The following is a 24221-nucleotide window of genomic DNA, read 5'->3' as shown; positions in this document are numbered from 1 at the left end:
AGAAGGAAATAAAGGGTATTCAGTTAGGAAAAGAGGAAGTCAAACTGTCCCTGTTTGCAGACAACATGATTGTACATCTAGAAAACCCCATTGTCTCAGCCCAAAATCTCCTTAAGCTGATAAGCAACTTCAGCAAAGTTTCAGGATACAAAATCCATGTACAAAAATCACAAGCATTCTTATACACCAATAACAGACAGAGAGCCAAATCATGAGTGAACTCCCATTCACAATTGCTTCAAAGAGAATAAAATACTTAGGAATCCAACTTACAAGGGACGTGGAGGACCTCTTCAAGGAGAACTACAAACCACTGCTCAAGGAAATAAAAGAGGACACAAACAAATGGAAGAACATTCCATGCTCATGGGTAGGAAGAATCAGTATCGTGAAAATGGCCGTATTGCCCCAGGTAATTTATAGATTCAATGCCATCCCCATCAAGCTACCAATGACTTTCTTCACAGAATCGGAAACAACTCTTTAAAGTTCATATGGAAGCAAAAAAGAGCCCGCATCGCCAAGTCAATCCTAAGCCAAAAGAACAAAGCTGGAGGCATCATGCTACCTGACTTCAAACTATACTACAAGGCTACAGTAACCAAAACAGCATGGAACTGGTACCAAAATAGAGATATAGATCAATGGAACAGAATAGAGCCCTCAGAAATAACGCCGCATATCTACAACTATCTGATCTTTGACAAACCTGAGAAAAACAAGCAATGGGGAAAGGATTCCCTATTTAATAAATGGTGCTGGGAAAACTGGCTAGCCATATGTAGAAAGCTGAAACTGGATCCCTTCCTTACACCTTATACAAAAATTAATTCAAGATGGATTAAAGATTTAAACGTTAGACCTAAAACCATAAAAACCCTAGAAGAAAACCTAGGCATTACCATTCAGGACATAGGCATGGGCAAGGACTTCAAGTCTAAAACACCAAAAGCAATGGCAACAAAAGACAAAATTGACAAATGGGATCTAATTATACTAAAGAGCTTCTGCACAGCAAAAGAAACTACCAACAGAGTGAACAGGCAACCTACAAAATGGGAGAAAATTTTCGCAACCTACTCATCTGACAAAGGGCTAATATCCAGAATCTACAATGAACTCAAACAAATTTACAAGAAAAAAACAAACAACCCCATCAAAAAGTGGGCGAAGGATATGAACAGACACTTCTCAAAAGAAGACATTTATGCAGCCAACAGACACATGAAAAAATGCTCATCATCACTGGCCATCAGAGAAATGCAAATCAAAACCACAATGGGATACCATCTCACACCAGTTAGAATGACAACCATTAAAAAGTCAGGAAACAACAGGTGCTGGAGAGGATGTGGAGAAATAGGAACACTTTTACACTGTTGGTGGGACTGTAAACTAGTTCAACCGTTGTGGAAGTCAGTGTGGCGATTTCTCAGGGATCTAGAACTAGAAATACCATTTGACCCACCAATCCCATTACTGGGTATATACCCAAAGGACTATAAATCATGCTGTTATAAAGACACATGCACACGTATGTTTATTGAGGCACTATTCACAATAGCAAAGACTTGGAACCAACCCAAATGTCCAACAATGATAGACTGGATTAAGAAAATGTGGCACATATACACCATGGAATACTATGCAGCCATAAATAATGATGAGTTCATATGCTTTGTAGGGACATGGATGAAATTGGAAATCATCATTCTCAGTAAACTATCGCAAGGACAAAAAACCAAACACTGCATGTTCTCACTCACAGATGGGAATTGAACAATGAGAACACATGGACACAGGAAGGGGAACATCACACTCTGGGGTGGGGGGAGGGGGGAGGGTTAGCATTAGGAGATATACCTAATGCTAAATGACGAGTTAATGGGTGCGGCACACTAGCATGGCACATGTATACATATGTAACTAACCTGCACATTGTGCACATGTACCCTAAAACTTAAAGTATAATAATAATTAAAAAAAGATAATAAAGTTCAGATGCTTAAAAAAAATGTAACTATTTTCATTACAGTTGCTTTCAAATTTATCAGACAATATTTTGCAAAATTATAAATTCCATTGAAAATACATCAAAGCCTCATAATTAATGTTAAGCATGTCTTGGATCCTATGTATCTCAGATTTTTTTAGGTCATACAATTTCAAATGTTCCATCTCATCACACTCAAAAGTACACACAATTTCAGACCTGGTATTTTGATTTCTGTACTGAGAAGGATGACCACCAAACATGTTATTTTGCCTTCGTGGAATCAGAAAAATCCACAAAATCTAATTTTACATAAATTTATCAAAGTATACAATGGGTCATAATGATTTAACCTTTGTCAAAATAAAATATGATTTGGAACCAAGCGACTTCTATTCCATTTACTAGTAGTGCAGTTTAAGAAAATTTACTAATAGTCTGTGAATTCGGATCAGTTTTCTCTGCTGTAAAATGAGGATAATAATATTATCTAAATAGATTTTTGCAAAAATTCACCAAAATAATGAAATAATGTAATATGTAAGAATATCATGTCAATATTTATTTTATATTAATATGTAAAAACAAATTATTGCTGTAACTCATTACTGTAGCCCACACACTCATCTTTCTCCATATGCTCTAGACTAAAATTTAGAGACTTATTGAAAATGTTTACAGTATAATTATCTGATATACTCACTTTGTTTTTCTCCTTCAAAGTAGTGTTAATAATATGGAATCAAATATATCATCCACCCAATTGGCATAGAATAAATTTCCAAATAGTGACTTAAATAAGTTATATGGAAAGCTGTGCTATATGATGCATAATTCTCCTTTGACAATTTAAGAGAAAGATTATTTTCATACACTAACAGTATCAGATTTTCCAACAGAAATGTACTTTCCCCAAGTTACTAGATAGTCATAGAGAATATAAGTAAAACATATTTGTCAAAAAATGTCAGTTTGACTCTTCTTCCAAGATATGTCTCCTTTCCTCCACTGACTAACTTGTGATCTGTCTTTTGAGTATGTATTTTATTCTCATAAATACCTTAATTATACTGACACAAACACAAATTTATAATCTGTTCCTCATGTAAGGCAATACATTTATCTGCCATTTTATACTTGACTCAAAAAAAAGGGTCTCTTTGTCTTCAAAAATGGAGATTAGAACTCCATTAATTTAGGCAAGAAGGAACTGGTGGGAGTAGATGTGTTTTGGGAACATCAAGCTTGGGTCTCAGCTGCTGCATTCCAAAAATAATTTCCCTCACTGTAGGTTATGTATTATTTGACTCAGAGGGAATATTAAAACGTTTGAGTAATTTAAACAAGAATTTAAAAAACAGCGGATAACTGGTAATATCACTCCCGAATGTACAACCCAAGGGAATTCTAGCACTATTAAGACTTCAAATCAATTCCTCAGAACCTGAAATTTGCTACATTTCTCCTGCCATCTTTTCTCTTGCCTTCTTTTCACCCATCATCATATTCTCTTCCTTTGATTTTCAGTATTCACCACTGATGGTCTTAAAGTGGAACTGTTCTTTTGGTTTTGTTTTACGCAGAGGAAAAAGACATATTTTCTGATCTTAAGATAAAAGAAATGAGTTAGGACCCTTTATATATTTCCAAGAAAAGGGAATGAGAGAGGAGAGATGGTGGGCACGCAAGCACACAAGTTTGTGAGTGTGCACACACAGAAATTTATCACTCTTTTCTTTATTTGAATCAGTAAATCTAATTACATGGGTTGGTCAGGGGTAAGTCTTCACTAACACAGCCACTTTACTCTGAAATACAGCTACCAGAAATCACAACTATAACTGCTTCAAATCCTAATGAAATGATGATGAAAATGCATTTGTGTTAATTCCCAAAGGACTCAAATCGAATGTCAAATCTGTTTTCAAAGCAGCTTCTGAACTAGGAAACTAATTTCTAATACACAGGATAGTTCAATATGCATTATTTCCCAATATCAGTTTTATTTTGTGAATATATTTGAGAGATTACAAAACCCAGAAGAATGTCTTGAGTTAAAGTCAAAGCAATATTCTAGTTACAGACTGAGATACTTGTTACAGATTTTCCAGTTCATTAATGCTGTTATAGATATTTTAAAGAATAGTGGCAAATATTTATTTTAATTACATGAGAAAATAGAGTAAAATGAGAGTGATATAAAAATAATGTAAAAGAGAATGATTTCATATTAAGGTACATGCATGTTTATGTGTATGCGTGTGTTTAGTTGAACCAAGGGAAATTACCAACATTTGACACTGGAAAATGACAGAAGCAAAGACACAGAGAGACAGAGTCAGAGACAGAGAGACACAAGGAAGATTCTATCTCATAAAAGGAAACAAAATCCACAGACAAGCATCTCTTCCCCATGGCCATGCGAAGTCTCCAGTTATATTTTTGGTATTTTATGTTTAAATAGAAAGTCTAGCATAGAATCAATAATATTGGAAGAAAAGCCATAATACGAAATAAACAAAGCAAACAAATGGAAAAAAATGCACCAAAAAAAGACATTGTACATAAAGAAAACAACTTGAAAGAACACATCCTTATAATTAATATTGTGAAAAATTTTATATCCATTAAGCAAGACAGTGTTATTTTAAAATTAAACATCAGAGTTCAAGAAAGAGATCCTGGAAATCAAAGATATGACAGCAGATATCACAACTAAATAGAAAGCTGAAAGACAAAATCAAGGTACATTCCAGGGACAGAAACAAACAAACAAGATAAGAGAATACAACAAGATAATACAATAAGATAATACAAGATAAGATACACAGAAAAGATAACAGAAGAGAAAAGTAAAGAAACTGAGATGTCAATACAGGTAGTCAAATACTCAAAGGTTGCATCAGAAAACAGGAGAAAACAACATCACTAATGATCAGGGAAATGAAAATCAAAACCACAAGGTGATACCACCTTACTCCTTCAAGAATGGCCATGATCAAAAAGTCAAAAAACAACAGATGTTGGCATGGATGCAGTGAACAGGAAACAGTTCTACACTGCTGGCGGGAATGCAAACTAGTACAACCACTATGGAAAACAGTGTGGCGATTCCTTAAAGAACCAAAAGGAGAACTATCATTTGATCCAACAATCCCACCACTGGGTATCTACCCATAGGAAAAGAAGCCATTATATGAAATAGATTCTTCAACATGCATGTTTATAGCAGTAAAATTTGCAATTGCAAAAATATGGAACCAGCCCAAATGCCCATAAATCAATGAATGGATAAAGATATTGTGATATATAGTGCTTAACGAAATAAAAGAGGATACAAACAAATAGAAGAACATTCCATGCTCATGGATAGGAACAATCAATACCATGAAAATGGCCATAACTGCCCAAGGTAATTTATAGATTCAATGCCATCCCCACCAAGCTACCAATGACTTTCTTCACAGAATGGAAAAAACTACTTTAAAGTTCATATGGAACCAAAAAAGAGCCCGCATTGCCAAGACAATCCTAAGCCAAAAGAACAAAGCTGGAGGCATCACGCTACCTGACTTCAAACTATACAACAAGGCTACAGTAACCAAAACAGCATGGTACTGGTACCAAAACAGAGATATAGACCAATGGAACAGAACAGAGCCCTCAGAAATAATACCACACATCTACAACCATCTGATCTTTGACAAACCTGACAAAAACAATAAATGGGAAAAGGATTCCTCATTTAATAAATGGCGCTGGAAAATTGGCTAGCCATATGTAGAAAGCTGAAACTGGATCCCTTCCTTACACCTTATACAAAAATTAATTCAAGATGGATTAAAGACTTAAACGTTAGACCTAAAACCATAAAAACCCTAGAAGAAAACCTAGGCAATACCATTCAGGACATAGGCATGGGCAAGGACTTCATGACTAAAACACCAAAAGCAATGGCAACAAAAGCCAAAATTGACAAATGGGATCTAATTAAACTGAAGAGTTTCTGCACAGCAAAAGAAACTACCACCAGAGTGAGCAGGCAACCTACAGAATGGGAGAACATTTTTACAATCTACCCATCTGACAAAGGGCTAATATCCGGAATCTACAAAGAACTCAAACAAATTTACAAGAAAAAATCAAACAACCCCATCAAAAAGTGGGCGAAGGATATGAACAGACACTTCTCAAAAGAAGACATTTATGCAACCAAAAGACACATGAAAAAATGCTCATCATCACTGGCCATCAGAGAAATGCAAATCAAAACTACAATGAGATACCATCTCACACCAGTTGGAATGGTAATCATTAATAAGTCAGGAAACAACAGGTGCTGGAGAGGATGTGGAGAAATAGGAACACTTTTACACTGTTGGTGGGACTGTAAACTAGTTCAACCATTGTGGAAGTCAGTGTGGCGATTCCTCAAGGATCTAGAACTAGAAATACCATTTGACCCACCAATCCCATTACTGGGTATATACCCAAAGGATTATACATCATGCTTCTATAAAGACACATGCACATGTATGTTTATTACAGCACTATTCACAATAGCAAAGACTTGGAACCAACCCAAATGTCCATCAGTGATAGACTGGATTAAGAAAATGTGGCACATATACACCATGGAATACTATGCAGCCATAAAAAGGATGAGTTCATGTCCTTCGTAGGGACATGGATGAACTGGAAAACATCATTCTGAGCAAACTACCAGAAGGACAGAAAACCAAACACCACATGTTCTCACTCATAGGTGGGAATTGAACAATGAGAACACTTGGACACAGGATGGGGAACATCACACACTGGGGCCTGTTGTGGGGTGGGGGGAGTGGGGAGGGATAGCATTAGGAGATACACCTGATGTAAATGATGAGTTAATGGGTGCAGCACACCAACATGGCACATGTATACATATTTAACAAACCTGCACGTTGTACACATGTACCCTAGAACTTAAAGGATAATAAAAAAAATTAAAAAAAAAGAAATTGTGAGATACACACACACACACACACACACATACACACACACACACAGTGGAATATTACTCAGCCATAAAAAAGAATGAATTAACATACCCTGAGAGCTATAGGAAAATAAATGAAGAAAGAGTTATACCAATGAGTGTCATATATAGAAAAAAGATTGAATCTGTAACACTGCAAACTAAAAAACCTTAGAAAATTATGAGGGAAAATTGGTTTTACCCCAGTATTTCATACCTAGCCAAATAACAAGCCAAGTATAGGCTAAATAATTTCCAAATTTGCTGTATCTCAACACTTATATCTCCTGTCCACTCTTTCTGAGAAGTTACTGGAGAATGTTTTCCTCCAAAATGAAGACACCAACATGAAGGGGAATACATAGGATTTAGGAAAAGAAGCAAGAGGGAGGGGCAAAGGGAATTATTAGGCTGTTTACAAAAAGAAGAGAAAGAAAGAGGGAAACATGCTTCAATATCTTCAGCTTAAAAGAATGGAATGGAAAGAACATCTGATATATTTGTAGGCATTTAGAGATTTTTCAGTAAGTTTGTGTAACTTGGGAAATAATTCATGAAAGATACCTTGAAAACTAAACAAGTAGAGAAACAAATAGGAACTTTTAGAAAATTGAAATTTCATGCAGGAAATTAATGGAAATAAATAATACCACATGGCTAATCTGTGAACAATGCTTTACATAGTCATACAAGCAATAACACTAAATACTGATTTGTTTAAAACATAGGAGATATATAAGATAGGGAGATAGGGAGTAGAGATGAAGTGCATTGAGTATTGGATGTAAGGATACTCAATAATCTCCTTTCTTAAGAAGACATCAATTTAACATTCACAAAATAGCATTATAAAATGGTAATTGAAAACACAGCTAAATGAGAAAAGATACAGTTAAAAAAACTTAAAGTGGCCCCTTTTAGGGGACTGGCTGGAGAGTTCAGAAAAGGTGGGGCAACAAATTGCTTGCTCTTCCTCCCTCCTTTCTTCATTTCTGGTCCTAGGTTTTATAGTAATAATTCATTTCTTAACTATGTACATCTATTAATTCAAAGAAGAAAAATAAAAGATAAACCCATAGCACTTTTAATGTCATGATATATCTCTATTCCATATAATTTAATGTTTAATTCTTTGAGGAGTGTAGTGCTTTATCATTGTATTATAATCATAAAAAGGAAAAAGTAATTGTTACTACTCATAAATAAAAAGTTGGTAATTTTTTTCAGTATCAAGCTATTAAATTAAAGGCACATAGTTTGTACAAACAAACAGTTCATGACTTGATAAAATTGAATTAAAAATGTCATTATTTCTCTCTGTTTCCATTAAATAATTAGATATATCCTTCCTACACAGAAGGCAGAAATGAATTTTAGTTATTACCACTCAGTATTTTCTCCCAGTTGCACTTAACACAAAGGAGTGGCTTGTTGTTGTTATTGCCATTGTTGTTCTAATTAAAATGGATAATCACACCATATTTCTCTAATATGATCTTGGAAAAATCATTAATTCAAGTGGTATTTGTCCTTTGCAAAAAAAGTGTAATGCTCCCTCAAGGTGATTAGTTTTCTGGGAGGTCATTTTAGTATTCTAGATAATTGTTAACTAATTATTTTAAATGATGATTGTATATTGGCAAGAATAGAATATTTCAGGGTAATGAGTTTAACTGATAGTAAGAGATTGCTACTTTGGAGATTGTGCAATAACTGCTGGTCTCCATTTTCTGCTTGCAATGAGCATTGGTGGATAGGAATTAAATCTACATTTTTAATATGTTAAAAAAATAATTGGTTACTTCAATAATAAGTGTTGAGCCAGCATTTAGAACCCTAGAGCAGTCCCTAAGTATTTTTGTTTTACAGTTCCATGGCTTGTCATTTTCACAGTCCTTTCCATTCTTCCTATCACTTGACAGCTGTGGGGCTAATTCTCTCCCAGGACCAGTTTCCCAGAGGCATGGCCCTAAACCTTTTAACCTATTGACTTATTGTGCCAAATTTGGAAGGATAAGCATGTTTTGCATTGTGCTCAAATCTTCATTTATCTTTTAAAGATATGCTATTTAGAATGGTGGCAATCAGCAATAAAATGTGTGGCTGCCAGATTACCATGTTGTCTTGTCATGAACTATTACCTCACTGTGCTGGGAGCACATGAGAGTAAGATAACACAGTATAGTACAGAGAAAAATTGAGTTTATTTCCTACCTTTGGAAAAACATTAAAACATTTCTATATCTTAATTATTATATTCTGTCACTTTCATAGGTTAAAAGACAATAGCTCAAGCTCTGAGCCTCATTAAACTTGTTTGAGACTGTCTTCCTTAGCTTTTTTTTTTTAAACTACTCCCGTGACAGATTATTCTTTAGCTTTCTTAGAGCATTTTAGCTTGTTGATTTCACAATAAAATAAAAAAATAGAATGGCTTCTTAATCCAGTAATTGAATCAGACTCCTAAGGCAGTAATCATTTCTGTAAAAAAGAATGAAAAATCCAAAATACTATCATAATTACATAAAAAGATGAATTTTATATTATAAGCTAATGTAACAAAGTTATAAGGATAAATAAGAAGAAAATGATTGCATGTCAAAATTAGGAAAAAAAACCTGTATGTATGTGTATGTATCTAGAAAGGGACAGTAAGCCCACAAGTGGGAAACTTAGACAAAATCAATAACCCATTTCTTCTATTGCTTAGCTCTATGAACTTTATGAAAACCAATTATTTAAAAATTTATGTCACTTGCGATTTTATGGTTTTCATCATCAATGGCATGCATTTCAGTTCTTAGAGCTTTTCTACATTTGATAATTCCATAAACTAAGCTATCTGCTGCCCCCCAGGGCCAGTTTGAACTTAGGTAACCTCCCCACCTTTGCCAGTGTCTGCTCCATGTTGTCAGCTGGTTTCTGGCATTAATGACTTCCTGATGTTGCTAACTTATGTTTCCTCACCATTTCCTACACTGGCCTCTATAAACCCAATTCCCTTTATTCTAATCCATTCATTTATAATACTTAAGGTATAAAGTAGAACCTCCCTAGGCACACCTACCATTACTTTGACTGATATAGCCACAAAGTTATCAATTTTTTACGCAAAGAAGACAGAAAATGCATAATTCTCCATATTTCTTTGCCTCTGACATATCTTGTTAGGTTCAGAACTATGAGCCATTTGATATTTGTGTGTTTGTTGCATATATTGTATTAGAAATTTGTCAACATGAGTGATGGAATATTTGTAGGGTGGTTGCTGATTACTAGAATTAGAATTCACATCAAAATATGATACCAAATAAAGAAAAGGAAAAATCTATGGGACAGTTGTTTCTTACAGATAAGAAGACATTTTCTTTTTAATTATAATTTTCAAATGATCTCTGAATGATCCTTATCTTTAATACAGAAAAGGAAAATAATGTACTAAGAATGTTGGCAGAAGTATAAGTCTGATTTTCCTATGAATAAAACTCCTTTCTCCAATACATTTCTTACTTTTTGTGATACATGTAACCAACTTAAGATGAGTCAAGCCTAAATAATACAGCAGCATAGCCTGTCACTTTTCCTCCACTGATCTTTGTGACCTATTCCTTAGTGTAGGTTACTTTTCTTATTTTTCAAAGAGCAAGAAGAAAATGGATCCCATGTGGATGGAAGATGTCTATGAAAGCAAGCCAAGTGGAATAAAAAATAGTGAGGAGAGGATATAAAAATGTTTAAAGGATGATTTTGCACTTTAAAAAGAAAAGGTTCCATGACTCACTGAGAGTTAAGATAAATGATTGACTAGGAAAACAGCTCGGTTTGAAAATAACGTAAGCAAAGAGACTCCAAAATAAACAAGAAGGAACTGAGCTATTGAGACCATCCAGTCTCCCGAGACCTCACACTTTCACATTCAGCACTGAGAAGGGAAAAATAACAATAGTAATTATACGAACATGTTCAGACCTCTTTCACATGTCAACATACAAAAACATGCTTGGCCAAGAACTTACACCTGTTACAGGTCTTCATCATGCATCCTCAAAGTCACTTTTTCCATTGTGGCTTCAAATTCTTTCTCATGTCTACTGTCTTGTCTTCCTTTCGTCTTGCACTCTGGTGCCTAGCTTTTCTTCTATAACATCAATTAGAACTCTCAAGAACTTCTTCATGGCTCCTTATGTTTCTCTCTTCAATATGAATACAATGGTATTTTCTTTTATTTCTTTATTATTATTATTATTATTATTATTATTATTATTTTGACACAGGGTCTTGCTCTGTCATCCAGGCTGGAGTAGAGTGGTGTGATCATGGCTCAGTGTAGCCTCAACCTCTTGGGCTCAAACAATCCTCCCACCTCAACCTCTCAAGTAGCTGGGACCACAGGCAGGCATCACCATGCTAGCTAATTTATTTTTAGTTTTTGTAGAAATGAGGTCTCACTATGTTGGTCTTGAACTCTTGGGCTCAAGCAATCCTCCCACCTTGGCCTCCCAAAGTGTTTGAATTACAGGTATGAGCCACCTTGCCCGGTGGATATTATTTTTTTCTTTGGGGCTGAAGGCAATTGACATTCCTTAAAATTCTACTATCTATCATTCTAAAGAGTTCTGTTGAACTATACCTCAAGGGACTTAAAGACTTTCTTTTTCCTCTGCATTTTACCACCTACTCCTCTTACCCCCGGCTTGGTGCAGTGATGAGAAGGCATTTAGTAAACACTGTTTCAGTTCTTCTTCCTCGGTTTCCAAGGTCCTCTTTCAAAGTGATCTTAAATCCCTATTGAAACTGTTTGTTTTTATCCAAGATATGGAGTTTTCACTCCAAGCTGGTTGTTCTCAGTACCCTCAAAAATCTCATGTTCTCCCTACTTGTGCTTATAATTCTTAACTTAGGAAGAATATTTTAGTTATCTGCCTACCCATTTGTCAAGGTCTTGTTCAAGTTCAAGCTTCACTTGCCACATTGGGTAACACTTCTAGTAACTACTACACCCACCAAAAGTAAACTGTTAATTAATCTCTACTTCATTTCTGGTGATGACAACAATAACAGCTACCATTTACTACACTCACATTGGAAGCAAGGCAGTATGTTAAAATTTTGTTTACATGAAGTATTCCCAGGCATCTTCTGAAGTAGGTATTGTTATTGTTATTATTATCATTACCTTACAGATGAGAAAGAGCAGGATTTCTGTGTTTAAATAAAGTTCCTAATTTCAAAGTAAGTAGCAAAACTAGATTATAAACCTAAGTTTCTGATGTCCAAGCTGAGACTCAAGAATTTTGATACATAGCCTCAGTTGACACTTCAGCCAGCCTGAGCGCAATCAGTAAAGGTAGTTTAATGTAATTATATTTCCTCTTTGTCTTCCACAGTGCCTACAATATCAGGTCTCATGCACTTGCTGGTTGATTGCTTGAACAGACATCTCATTTCATAGTCAAAATTTTATTGTGCTGTGGCTGGGCGCGGTGTCTAACACCTGTAATCACAGCACTTTGGGAGGAGGCTGAGGTGGTTGGATCACTTGATGTCAGGAGTTCGAGACCAGCCTGGGCAACATGGTGAAACCCTGACTCTACTAAAATACAAAAATAAGCAAGTGTGGTGATGCACACCTGTAGTCCCAGCTGCTTGGGAGGTTGAGGCAGGAGAATCGCTTGAACCCAGGAGGCAGGAGCTGCAGTGAGCCAAGATCATGCAACTGCACTCCAGCCTGGGCGACAGGGCAAGACTCTGCCTCAAAGAAAAAAAGAAAAAATATATGTATACACACACACACACACACACACACACACACACACACATATATATATAGCAATTATATATATAAATAAAATTGGAAAAATTATATATTTAAAAATTATATATACACATACACAAATTATATATATACACATATACACACATATATATGTGTGTATATGTGTGTGTGTGTGTGTGTGTGTATATATATGTATGTATGTATGTATAGTGCCCTATAAGTCAATTGCAAACAAGAGTAATATATGCAACTGGGCATAGTGGCACACATTGTAATTCCAGCTACTCAGGAGGCTGAGGCAGGAGGATCACTTGAGACCCAGAGTTAGAGGCTACAGTGAGTTATGATTGTGTCTGTGAATCGGCACTGCACTCTAGCCTGGAAACATAGCAAGATTCCATCTCTAAAAACAAAAATAATAGTATATGTTAAGTTTAAATAATTCAAATCTAATGAAAAAAGGTAAATCAATTTTCGATTTTTAAAAACTCACCTTTTTATAGAACATGGAAAAAATGTATATGTGATAGAATCATCCCTGAACAGGAAGTCAACATTTTTTAGAGTGTAATAACATGCGAATATGACAAGATTCTGAAAAAATATTTTCTTCTGTCTTTATTTCTTGAGTATTACTAATAGTATTAAGATTTTATTAAATATTATCTTCATGCTATCAGTTGTAAGTTTATAAATTGATCCTGTTTCAAATATTTAATGTTTCACTTGATTTTTGAATCTATAATACATTTCAGAATATCCTTTAGTCTGTTCAAGAGTAATGGTTTCTACATAATTTATATTTAAAGTTAGGTTGGACCATACTAATTCTTTCTTACCCTGAAGTGTCAATCATGATCAAGGTGTCATCGATAAGGTACATTACTACTGCTCTTCTTGTTTGATAACTTTCTTTAAAATTAAATAATGATTTATTAAGCTTTTAACAAAACAATGGAAATAAGGGCTGGGAGCAAAGGCTGAGAAGGCTGAGAGTGAAGATGGGACACAGGTATAGAAAAAGCTGCAGTGGTACACAAGTTTATAAGAGAAAAATAGCTCCATAATTCTCATTCTGAAAACAATTTATAAGTATACAAACAACAAATGTGTTACATATATGATGTCAATCTTCCAGCTGTTGGGTAATTTCAAGTGACAGAATTCCACTAAATTCTTGGTTATCATGAAGGCACACCTTTGGTAGTTTTAGTTTTCATTTGACTCTTTCTCTCATAGACACTGAAAGTATTTTTATCCACTAAACAGTGTGACAAAATATGATGAGTGAAAAATTTGCTGTATTTGGAAACTAGGTTTGAGGGAATTAGATAAAATATTTGAAAATCAGTGGTTGTTAGATTTCAAATCTTTTCCTTTCAAGCTAGCTTGCCTATCAACAAATCCTACATTTTCTTTGAAGAGTCTTTGAAACTCAAAATGATAGTAGAACAACAATGCACTGAAAAGCAAGAAACCAGCTATATTATTTGGTCTCCTTGTGATCTTGAGTAAATCACCTAAGTTTGACATGTCTTAGTCTTCTCACCTTTGAAATTGTTTAATGCAGTAGCAATTCATAATCATTATTTATATAGAAACTATGCCCTTTTATCTTTAGGTTTTAAGGATTTTGAATAATTTTGGGATGAGAGAATACATTAAATATTAAGTAAATATGTGCTGAACGAATACTAATATTATATGTTTTATTTGTATTTTTAGAGGCAAGGGTCTTGCTACGTTGCCCAGGCTGAACACAAATTCCTGGGCTCAAGAGATCCTCCGACCTCAACCTCTCAAGTAGATGGGACTACTGGTGCATGCCATCACACTCAACAATACTGATATTCTAATTCAAAGTTTCTTAAATCACAAACTAAAAGCAGTATCAGACTGTGCAAATTAATAACAATACAGAGCCAAACACACACACACACACACACACACACACACATTTTATTAAATGGATATTTGAATAAATGAGTAAATAAAACAGAGGGAAGTTTAAAAAAATAACAGAAATTCCATATCATCCTTTTGAATTAGTGAGAATGCCCTGTCTTTCAGGGTTCGTTGATTTCAAGAAAACAATAGCTGAAGAAATAATGAATACCTGCTGGAGTCCAGGCAGGCTAGGTATAAGTGGCAGGTTTAACACTCAGTTACCTGTGAGAGCTCACGTTGGACGAAAGATTCTTCTTGTCTTTTCCTTTTCTACCACCCACACACCCACACCCACACCCATACCCATACCCATAAATGTAATTCAGCACAATTTTGACATAAAACATTATTTTCTTTTAAATCTATTATGTCATTGTGCCCATTGCTTCAAGCTGCTGTTCAATTCTCTCTGCTCCCTCTTAGTCCAGAAACAAACACTGAGCTTCACACCTTTGTTAAATTGCTTACTATTAAGGCATCGTTTATTGAAATATCTGAGTATTTCCTTCTCTTGAGACTTTGAGGCACTAGGAATAGTTCTTGAATGGCAGCACCTTATATCCTATGATTGGCAGAAAGGAAAATATTTGAAGATTTGATAGGCCTCACCTAACAAGGTAAGAAACTTGAAGGAATGCTTTAAACCCACCTTAACTCTGGACAAAATTATCTGTAATTGTAATTTTGGGATAGTGAATTTGACAGATGAGGTCTCAGTACACAGTACATTCGGATCCCTTTGTGTAAATAAAGAGTCCAACTCCATTTTTTGTTGTTTGACTGCTGACAGCTTTTAAGCCTCACCCTTCCTTCTTCTCCTCAGCCTCACCTATGGGCAAGCTGTGAAGAAAGCCCAGGTGATATCTCCTTTGCCAATGAAAGTTTAAACCACAAAGAGGAAGCCACAGCTTGGTCCCATGTCCTAGCCCCCATTAAAAAAAAAAAAAAAATCCAAGCCAGTCTCCTTTCCTTCTGTCTCTCACCAATATAGAGCATGTTTGAGAGCCACCTGAAATCCACAGAGAGCCTCATTCTATGCAGGAGAAACCTCTTCATACCCTCTCGATGCATGCGTGTCACTGTGAGCATCAACATCCAAATCAAATTCTGTGTGTGGGTCCATCCTGTTATTGCAGAGGGTTAATCCTATTACTGCAGTGTGCATCACACAACTTGCTGGTTTGGATAAAATGACTGGAGGTTTAGTGGAGTGTCTCCTTTATTTCTATGATGTAATTGCTTTAAGATCAGATAAACACATTCGCCACCCCCAAATGGATGACTAGGAACTTCCTGGAAAACCCCCATTGTTATTTCCTCTCCATTTTCCCCTCCCTTCCTCTCCAACTAGTTCATTGCCATCTTTCCTCAAATTTGATTGTTTAGATAAGTTGTACCAGATTCATTAATACCCTGAAGATATCGCAATTCGCTGGTTGTGACCTACTGATTGCCACACGTACGCAAATTCACCAGCTTTCCTGCCAGTCCAATATGGGGAAAACCTACTGCAGTCAGTGTTGTCTATACGTTCCTTCCTCATACCTTACATTCAACTGTCTATCTTCTATTGTCCAAAATAAATGATAAAACTACTGATTTATTCAACATTTTGAATCTATGGTAGTAGTTGTATGTGAGCAAAAAAAAATTATTTGGAAAATACTTGTTTGGACGTGGATTGTGTGTGCATATACATACATATAATGTTATCATATATGTATATATATCATATATAAAGTATTTCATGTATGAAACTAAAATTACACATATATATGCACATCAGATTTTTATCATATACACATGAACATATATATAGTGTCAATTTACTTGATCATGAGTATTTATTTTATTGAGAAATGCACAGCTATTTTTTTAAAAATCAAAAAATATATCATAGATAACATTATTAAAGTGAGTAGAGTTTTGCTGTGTTGAAGCCAATAATTATTACATTTCACCTAAGTGACCTTGAAAAGTGAGACTCATTGAAGTTATTCTATGATGCATACTGTACAATTTACAAGTTTGCAGCACATTTACTGAACATATTAAAGTCACACTCCAAAGTATATGCAATTGATAATTTTAATGTTTCAAAGCTACTTTTTTTCCTTTAGGAAAACTATCTGCTGTTGGTAATTATAAAATCATCTATTTCTGTTTTTAATGAAAAAAAGTACCAGGATAATTTGTATGTATGTGAAAGTATCCATTTGAGAAAAAAAAAGATTGAATTCTTAGCAGAGATAATTTTATTTACAATTCAGTAAGTTAATTTAATTTTAATTGTCCCCAAACACACAAACACATTTCCCCAGAGGCCATTGAGTTAACTAGAGGAATAAAAGGGAGGAGAGACAGTTTACTTTAATACTTCTTGGCTCTTCCACACACATGTCTTAAAGTGAGAGACTTCTCCCTACAAAAAATTCATGATTTCTTTGTCTTCCCACTCCTCTCCTTTCCCATTTATCAGCCATAACTCTCACCTGAATCTTTAGCAGGAGAAAAAGAGACGCCTAATGTGGGTACAATACACAAAGGTAGATATGGCTGCATCAGTGTTCTGATTCTAGACTCTCCCACCCCTACCCTTCTGGAATTGCCTCTCTGACTGCTGTTGAGTCCTTTGAAACATGTTTGCCCATCAGAGTTTCAGAGGCCCATGTGCATTCTGAACACACCATCCAAATTAGCAGTATGAACGGAAGAAAAACCTTTCTCTACCTACACTTCTCATTTTCCCTCAGAGACAGATATCTGCTTCTCACTGCTTCTCTACCTCAACATAGGACTTAAGTTGGAATTTATTTTTAATCAGTTTATCAGAATAAATTGTTTGCAACAGGAGTATATTTTTACTGCCTTTATTGCTTTATCTTGTCTAATATTTTAATAAATGAGTAAATATAACAGAGAGCAAGGAGTATCAAAACCAAAAGGAAAAGGATAAAAGCCAGCCTACTAAAACAAGGGAAAAACACATTGCCAAGAATATTCTTTTCTGATTGAAAGAAAGACTTAATTAAGGACTATTAAGTTTATCCTTTTTTTTTTTTTCAATCAAGCCTTGTGTTTGTAACTGGAAAGCATGAAAAACTGTAAGTGTGCCTGAAGTGCCTTCGGAGGAGTCACAAACATAGAAGAAGACCCATGGGATTAATGACAGTCATGTCTTTCTGAGAGTAGAATAAACAGTCATCCAACTTTCCATCCAATAAGTCCACTGCACATGCTAGCCAGGCTCTCTCTAATGTGAGGGAAAGAAACAAGCAGGTAGACAGTTTCCAGTCATCGGCCTTGATTTCAGCACTCATCAGGTTCTTGACATAGTTTTTAAAAACGGGGGTATATGGCTACTATGGTGCAAATAGAGTGGGGTTTAGGCTTTCTATCCTTTCTCTCCCAAACAGAGAAATACTGAGTATCAGTCTCCTCAAACTTTCTGTAGTTCACATTTTCTCACCTTCTACAAACACAGTTAAAGATAAGGAGCAAGAGAAGAAAAGGTTGAAGCAAGGGTCTGTTTTCTTAAAAAAAAGAGTCATATTTAAAAAGGAAAACTCCGCATAGGAGAGTTCAGTGACTTCCCCAAGCTTTTGGGATGAAGACAGAATTTCTTTCTTAACATGGCCTATGGGCCTTTTCCAGTTACCTCTTGAATTAAAGCTTTATGCCTCATTTCCCCCTCCGCACACTCTAGTCTCTGTGGTTTTTTGTGAATTTCTTCTTTGGCCTGCTACTTCCTGCCACCTGGCCTTGGTACATGCACCTCCCCTGTTTAGTAGGTCTCACTCTTTCTTATCCACATAGTTGTTGCTTAACATACTTCAGATCTGGGTTCAACTGCTTTCCTCAGTCTCTGGAACAAGCTAGGATTACACTGGACATCTTTTTTTTTTTTTTTTAATAGCAGTTGTCCAGTGGAATTATGTGTTTATTTGTGTGATTAGGATTCTCTCTCTCTCTTTCATTCTTATTCTCTGATGGTGGGGGCCATGTTTTCAGTCACCCCTATATATCCATAGTACAACAACATGTCCCCCACAAAAGACTAATTAAAAGAAAAAGAAACTCAACTATGTATGTGTGTTCCTCTACGTATATGCATAGGGAAAATGTAAAAACTAGAATAAGTATCCATTTGGTAAGATTAACAGGGATGCTTTATTTTCTTCTTTTTGCTTCTGGGTTTTCAAAACTTTATAAACGGTTATTCTGTAATCATGCAAAAATTCAATTAAAAATAGATACACGTTATAACGGATTGAATTGTGTTCCCCAAAACGGTGTGTCGAAGTCCTACCTCCAGTAACCTGTGAATGTGGCCCTCTTAAGAAAAAGAGTCTTTGCAGATGTAATTAAGATGTAAGTTATACAGATTAGGGTGGCCCTAAATCCAATCACTAGTATCCTTAAAGAAAAACCATAGAGACCGTCACACACAGAAGGAACACAGCCATGGGGAGATGGAGGCAGAAATTAGAGTGAGGCAGCAAGTCAAGGAACACCACGGAGTGTTGACAACTGCAGGAGTCTGGGAAGATGCAAGGGAGGATCCTACCCTAGAACCTTCAGGGGGAACATGGCCCTGCCAACACCTTGATTTTGGACATGTAACCTCCAGAACTGTGAGAGAACACTTTTCCAGTATTGAATACTATTTTGTTTGTGATAATTTATTATGGCAACCCTAGAAAACTAATACACAAGTCTATGGTAATCCTCTACAAGTATTCTTTAAATTAGGAACATTACTAAGTAAGAAAATGTATTTTATGTATAGAACTAACCTTTTGCACTTTGGGAGGCCGAGGCGGGCAGATCACCTGAGGTTGGGAGTTCAGGACCAGCCTGTCCAACATGGAGAAACCCCGACTCTACTAAAAATACAAAATTAGCTGGGCGTGGTGGCACATGACTGTAATCCCAGCTACTCAGGAGGCTGAGGCAGGAGAATCGCTTGAACCTGGGAGGTGGAGGTTGCAGTGAGCCAAGATCACACTGTTGCACTCCAGCCTGGGCAACAAGAGCAAAATTCCGTCTCAAACAAAACAAAACAAAAGAAACCTAACCTTTTTTTTTGAAGCCATCATTCTCAGCAAACTAACACAGGAAACCTAAACCAAACACTGCATGTTCTCACTTGTAAGTGGGAGTTGAACAATGAGAACACATGGACACAGGGAGGGGAACATCACATACTGGGGCCTGTTGGAGGTTGCACGGCTAGAGGAGGGATAGCATTAGGAGAAATACCTAATGTAGATAACAGGTTCATGGGGGCAGCAAACCACCATGGCACGTGTATACCTGTGTAACAAATCTGCAAGGTCTGCACATGTACCCCAGAACTTAAAGTATAATAACAATAAAAAAAGAAATCGGTATTGTCTAAGTCATCAATTCTTGCTGTGTTTGTTCTGTGTGTTACCTAAACTTATTTCACTTTCTAAAGGAAATCTTGACATAAAGCCATGACCAAGAAATCACATGGATCATATCATCATCACTGTCATCATTTATTGTTATTTTGGGGGGTGGTGACGGGGTTATTTATCTAGATGACAGTGCCTGCTTGCTTTCTTTCCTTTCCCACCTTAGCTTAGCTGTGTGATTGTGTAGTATATTCCTTTCAAATCTAAAAGTAGCTGATTCAATCACTATTTTATCCCTCTGTGCTCTGAGTCTAATATGAAGGCTTATGGGGTAGACCCAGTATATTTAGTTTTAAATACCCTATGTAAGTGCATAGTCAATAGTCAATTTACATCACATCAATTCTGTTTATAAAATACAAAGCATAAAATTGCTTTACCAGCTACTGGATCCTGGGCTAGCCAATTGGAAAGAGATTAGACAATTCAAGGCCTATTTGGCTGAATTCACCACTTGACGAAAGGGAGAGATGTCAGCAGTATCAGTTGAAAACTGAAAATTAATGCTGAGGGTAGCTTAACAAGCTCTGAGTCACCAGTGTGCCGGTTCCGGGTGCTGCTAGTGTTGGAAGGCAGCCCAATGTAATAGCAGCAGCACAGGCTTGAGAGTCATGAGCTGCTTAACATGAGCAAATGACTTGCCTCTGTGCACCTTATCTTCCTCATCCATAAAATGTTAACAGTAATACTTGTCTCGCAAGACTAAATTTGTATAAAGGCCCAACACAGTTTCTAACATTTCTTAGATGCTCAATAAATGATTACTGTTATTGTAGTTATTATTTTTATTTTGTTTTGTAAAGTAGTTGGTCAACTCACAACATGCATCTAGTTTCTTGAATAGAGCCAAAGAAGCAAAATCCATACAAGGAACACAGTTTCTGCTTCTAAGCCATTTAAGCTCCAGCAAGTCGTTTAACCCTCTCGACCTCAGTTTCTTTATCTGTGAAATGAGAGGGTTGAAGTCGTTTCACATTGTGTGATTTTAAGCGTAGCACACAGAAACTGAAAAAATGTCAGTTTTCTTTTTGTCATTCTATCTTGGGGTCATTGAACCAATTTGACCATTTTTTTAACTGCCTGTGTATATAATAAACATAATGTTGACCCCACTAGAAAGGTTAATTAACAAAAGTCAAACCCTAATTTTCACTGGGCATCTTTTGTTAGGTAAAAACACATTTAGATAGAAATAAAAGAAAGAAAATTTCACTGTCTATGGTGGGGTAAGGATGAAGTTTTTTGGTGCGCTCATTGAGGAAGATGGGCACAGCATATGGAATGTATATATTCCATTTAGGTAAAATCATACATTACACACATGCATATTTGTACATGCATTTGTGTTTATAATTTATATTCATATGTGTGTGTGTTTGTGTGTATGCATGTGTGTATAAAAATACAGAAAAGAGTGGCTAAAAAAAATCAGTGAAGTTTATCTCTGTGTGGCAGAATTTCAGAAGGCTTCTTTTATTCATATTTTTGTATACTGTTTGAATTTTTATAATGAATATATTTCATTTATATATTCAGAAAAATATAATACAATTACACTGAGATAAGAAAAATATATAAATGTTACAGTCAAATATGCACAAAAAGGCAGCTTGAATTTTTAACATTATTGCAGCTGATATACACTTTCTCATGAATTTCCTTTGTCCCTGAACAATTGGAAGAACAAATTTGCCAATTAAATAAATCACAGTCTGTTTCTTGTAAATACTATTCTGGGTAGGGTAAATTTTCAAAGACAGTATTTGGTTCAATGAGAAGCTTTTTATTGCCCCTGCAGGAAAGTGGGTCTGGTATCCACATGAAGATCATGTTGCTGTCTTCTATCATTTTGCAAGCCTCAACAGCAATTTCCCTTGTGTCATCTGGTTATTAAACATCCTATTGACAATCACTATGGAATTGCGGGCTCCATTCCATGCTACATAAATGCCATGGGTGACTTCTTAATGTCACTCTGGTACTTCTCTTTGCCCAAATAGACCATGCTACCATTTCTCCTCCACTGTGATCACTGTGTGGGATCAAGTTGGAGTGGTGCCTGCCAGGTGATCTCTTTCCAGAATCTGGAACACCAACAGTGCCATTTTAGAAACCACTCTTACTTTTACTCTCTCTTTGCCCTACAACAGAAAGCTCCTTTCCTCTGAAAGAAATTTCCTTTGCATCACACGCTCATTCTCTAAGAAGTGGTATTTGATGCCTTCATTCCCTGGTCCAATATTGTATGGATGATATTAGGAAAAAAACTGATGTCAAAAAGAAGATTCATCAGACGGTACTAAAATATTATCCCTTCCTTACTTCTTTTTAATATTATTTAACAAACATTCACTGAGTACTTCTTAATGGTTGGCTATAGTATTAATCATGATTCCATGGAATCATGGAATAAAACGTATGAAGTATTAGTACCTTAGGAAGGTTACTCAATTTATCTGATATTTATTTAATTTTTATTTATTTTCAAAATGGTGACAATAATATATAACTGACTAGCTTACTTATATTTATTTAATTTTTATTTTTTTCAAAATGGTGGTAATAATGTATGACTGACTAGCCTACTTTGATTGTACAATAAGATGAATAACAGCATAGGCTTTGGACTCAAAACACTTGAATTCAATCTAAATTTTTCTACCTATTATCATCTGTATGATTTGGGGTACTAATATGTTAACATACCTACTTAACATGTTTTTGTTCTAGTTTCCTCATCTGTAAAGTGGGGATTAATAACAGCGATAATAATAAAAATATGTACATCATTTATTGTTATGAAGTTGTAAGAGTAAATACTTGTACAACATTTATAAAAGTATTTTATTTCTAATGTAGTTAATAAATTATTGTTTTTCAGAATTGACATCAAATGATAAAAAATTAATATGAAAGTTGTAATCTTGAAACGTTTTACAAATCTAGTTTGTTACCAGCATTAATAATGTACCATCCATAACTACTTCTCCAACATTTCTGGATAAGGCAGGGAACAGTGCTTTCATTTATTTTCACGATAATCTTACGTGTCAATAGTCCATAGTTAGCAGGTAAATAATATATACCAAGATAAAAGATAAAAACACTTAAACATGAAAATTTTAAAGTTATGTCAAATTATTTCCAAAATTCCAATTAACCCATAAAAGGCAAAGGGAAAGAGGTTGGCAGAAGGCAGGTTTCTTGCATCCCCATCTATGGAGTTACTCTGGGCACTAGGCATACTTGATCAGCAGACATCCCACTGTGTAAATGTAGAAACCAGAAGGAGAAGTAGTGGTAGTGGTAGTCTACTTCTACCATATTGTGTAAAAGTAGAAAACCAGAGCATGACTTCCTGTCCTTTGCACTACTGAATTCCAGGCGTGCTGAAAAGGTGGATGTAAGTCAACTTCCAAAGTAGAAACCAAAGAAGTACTGTTGAAAGAAATGCTGATTTTTATGCAGCTGGTAAAGAAACTGCCAAATACAATGGGCTCTACCTGGATGCCAACACATAAACACTTTGACCTCTTACTTCACCGCTAGTAGAATTCTTCTGGATTTTATAAAAGCAGTCCATGATCATGGGTGATTCTGGCAGAAAAAATAACAGATTGCTTGTCGGTATTAAACCAGTATTTTTTCAGAACTGGGTTTAGGAGACAGAAATGGACTTACTTCAGAATGAAATAAGCTACAGCATCTTGCTGCATAGAAGGAAGAATTTTTTTTTTAAAGAAGACTGGTTTAGTTGCTTTCTCTTTCCTCTTTACAGACAAAAACATAGGTCACTCTAACACAGTTTCCATTCATTGATTTGCTCATTCAACTTGTAATTCTGTTTTTTGCCTTTCTACTGCCCTCTTTCACTTTTAATATGTTTTAGCAGAAATTTTATTTTTTAACTTTGCCCTGCATACATGGCATATTTTCATTGTCAATTCTTCTTTATCAATCTTTTCCCAACCCCAGTTTCCTAGTTTGATCAGTGGGAAGGGAAAAAAAAAAAAAAAAAAAAACATGATCAAGACACACAGGAAC

General features: G+C 35.5%; 1 protein-coding gene across 23 annotated transcripts in view, besides 1 other annotated feature; it reads right to left on the bottom strand.

Annotated features, from left to right (window-relative positions):
- The window catches only part of NAALADL2 (N-acetylated alpha-linked acidic dipeptidase like 2), a 1369567-nt gene that overhangs the window by 442694 nt on the left and 902652 nt on the right, over positions 1-24221 (bottom strand). The gene's annotated exons all lie outside the window — the stretch shown is intronic.
- Positions 18373-18422: an enhancer, noted in NCBI's record as "active region_20834". NCBI's record gives its function as "activates an Ori minimal core promoter by ATAC-STARR-seq in GM12878 lymphoblastoid cells {active_cell/tissue: GM12878}" and the evidence as "EXISTENCE:reporter gene assay evidence [ECO:0000049][PMID:35858748]".

Source organism: Homo sapiens, chromosome 3 (assembly GCF_000001405.40).
Source record: "Homo sapiens chromosome 3, GRCh38.p14 Primary Assembly".
Classification (NCBI taxonomy): Eukaryota; Metazoa; Chordata; class Mammalia; order Primates; family Hominidae; genus Homo; species Homo sapiens.
Note: the sequence above shows the minus strand (reverse complement) of the source record. Positions and strands in the feature narration are given on the sequence as shown.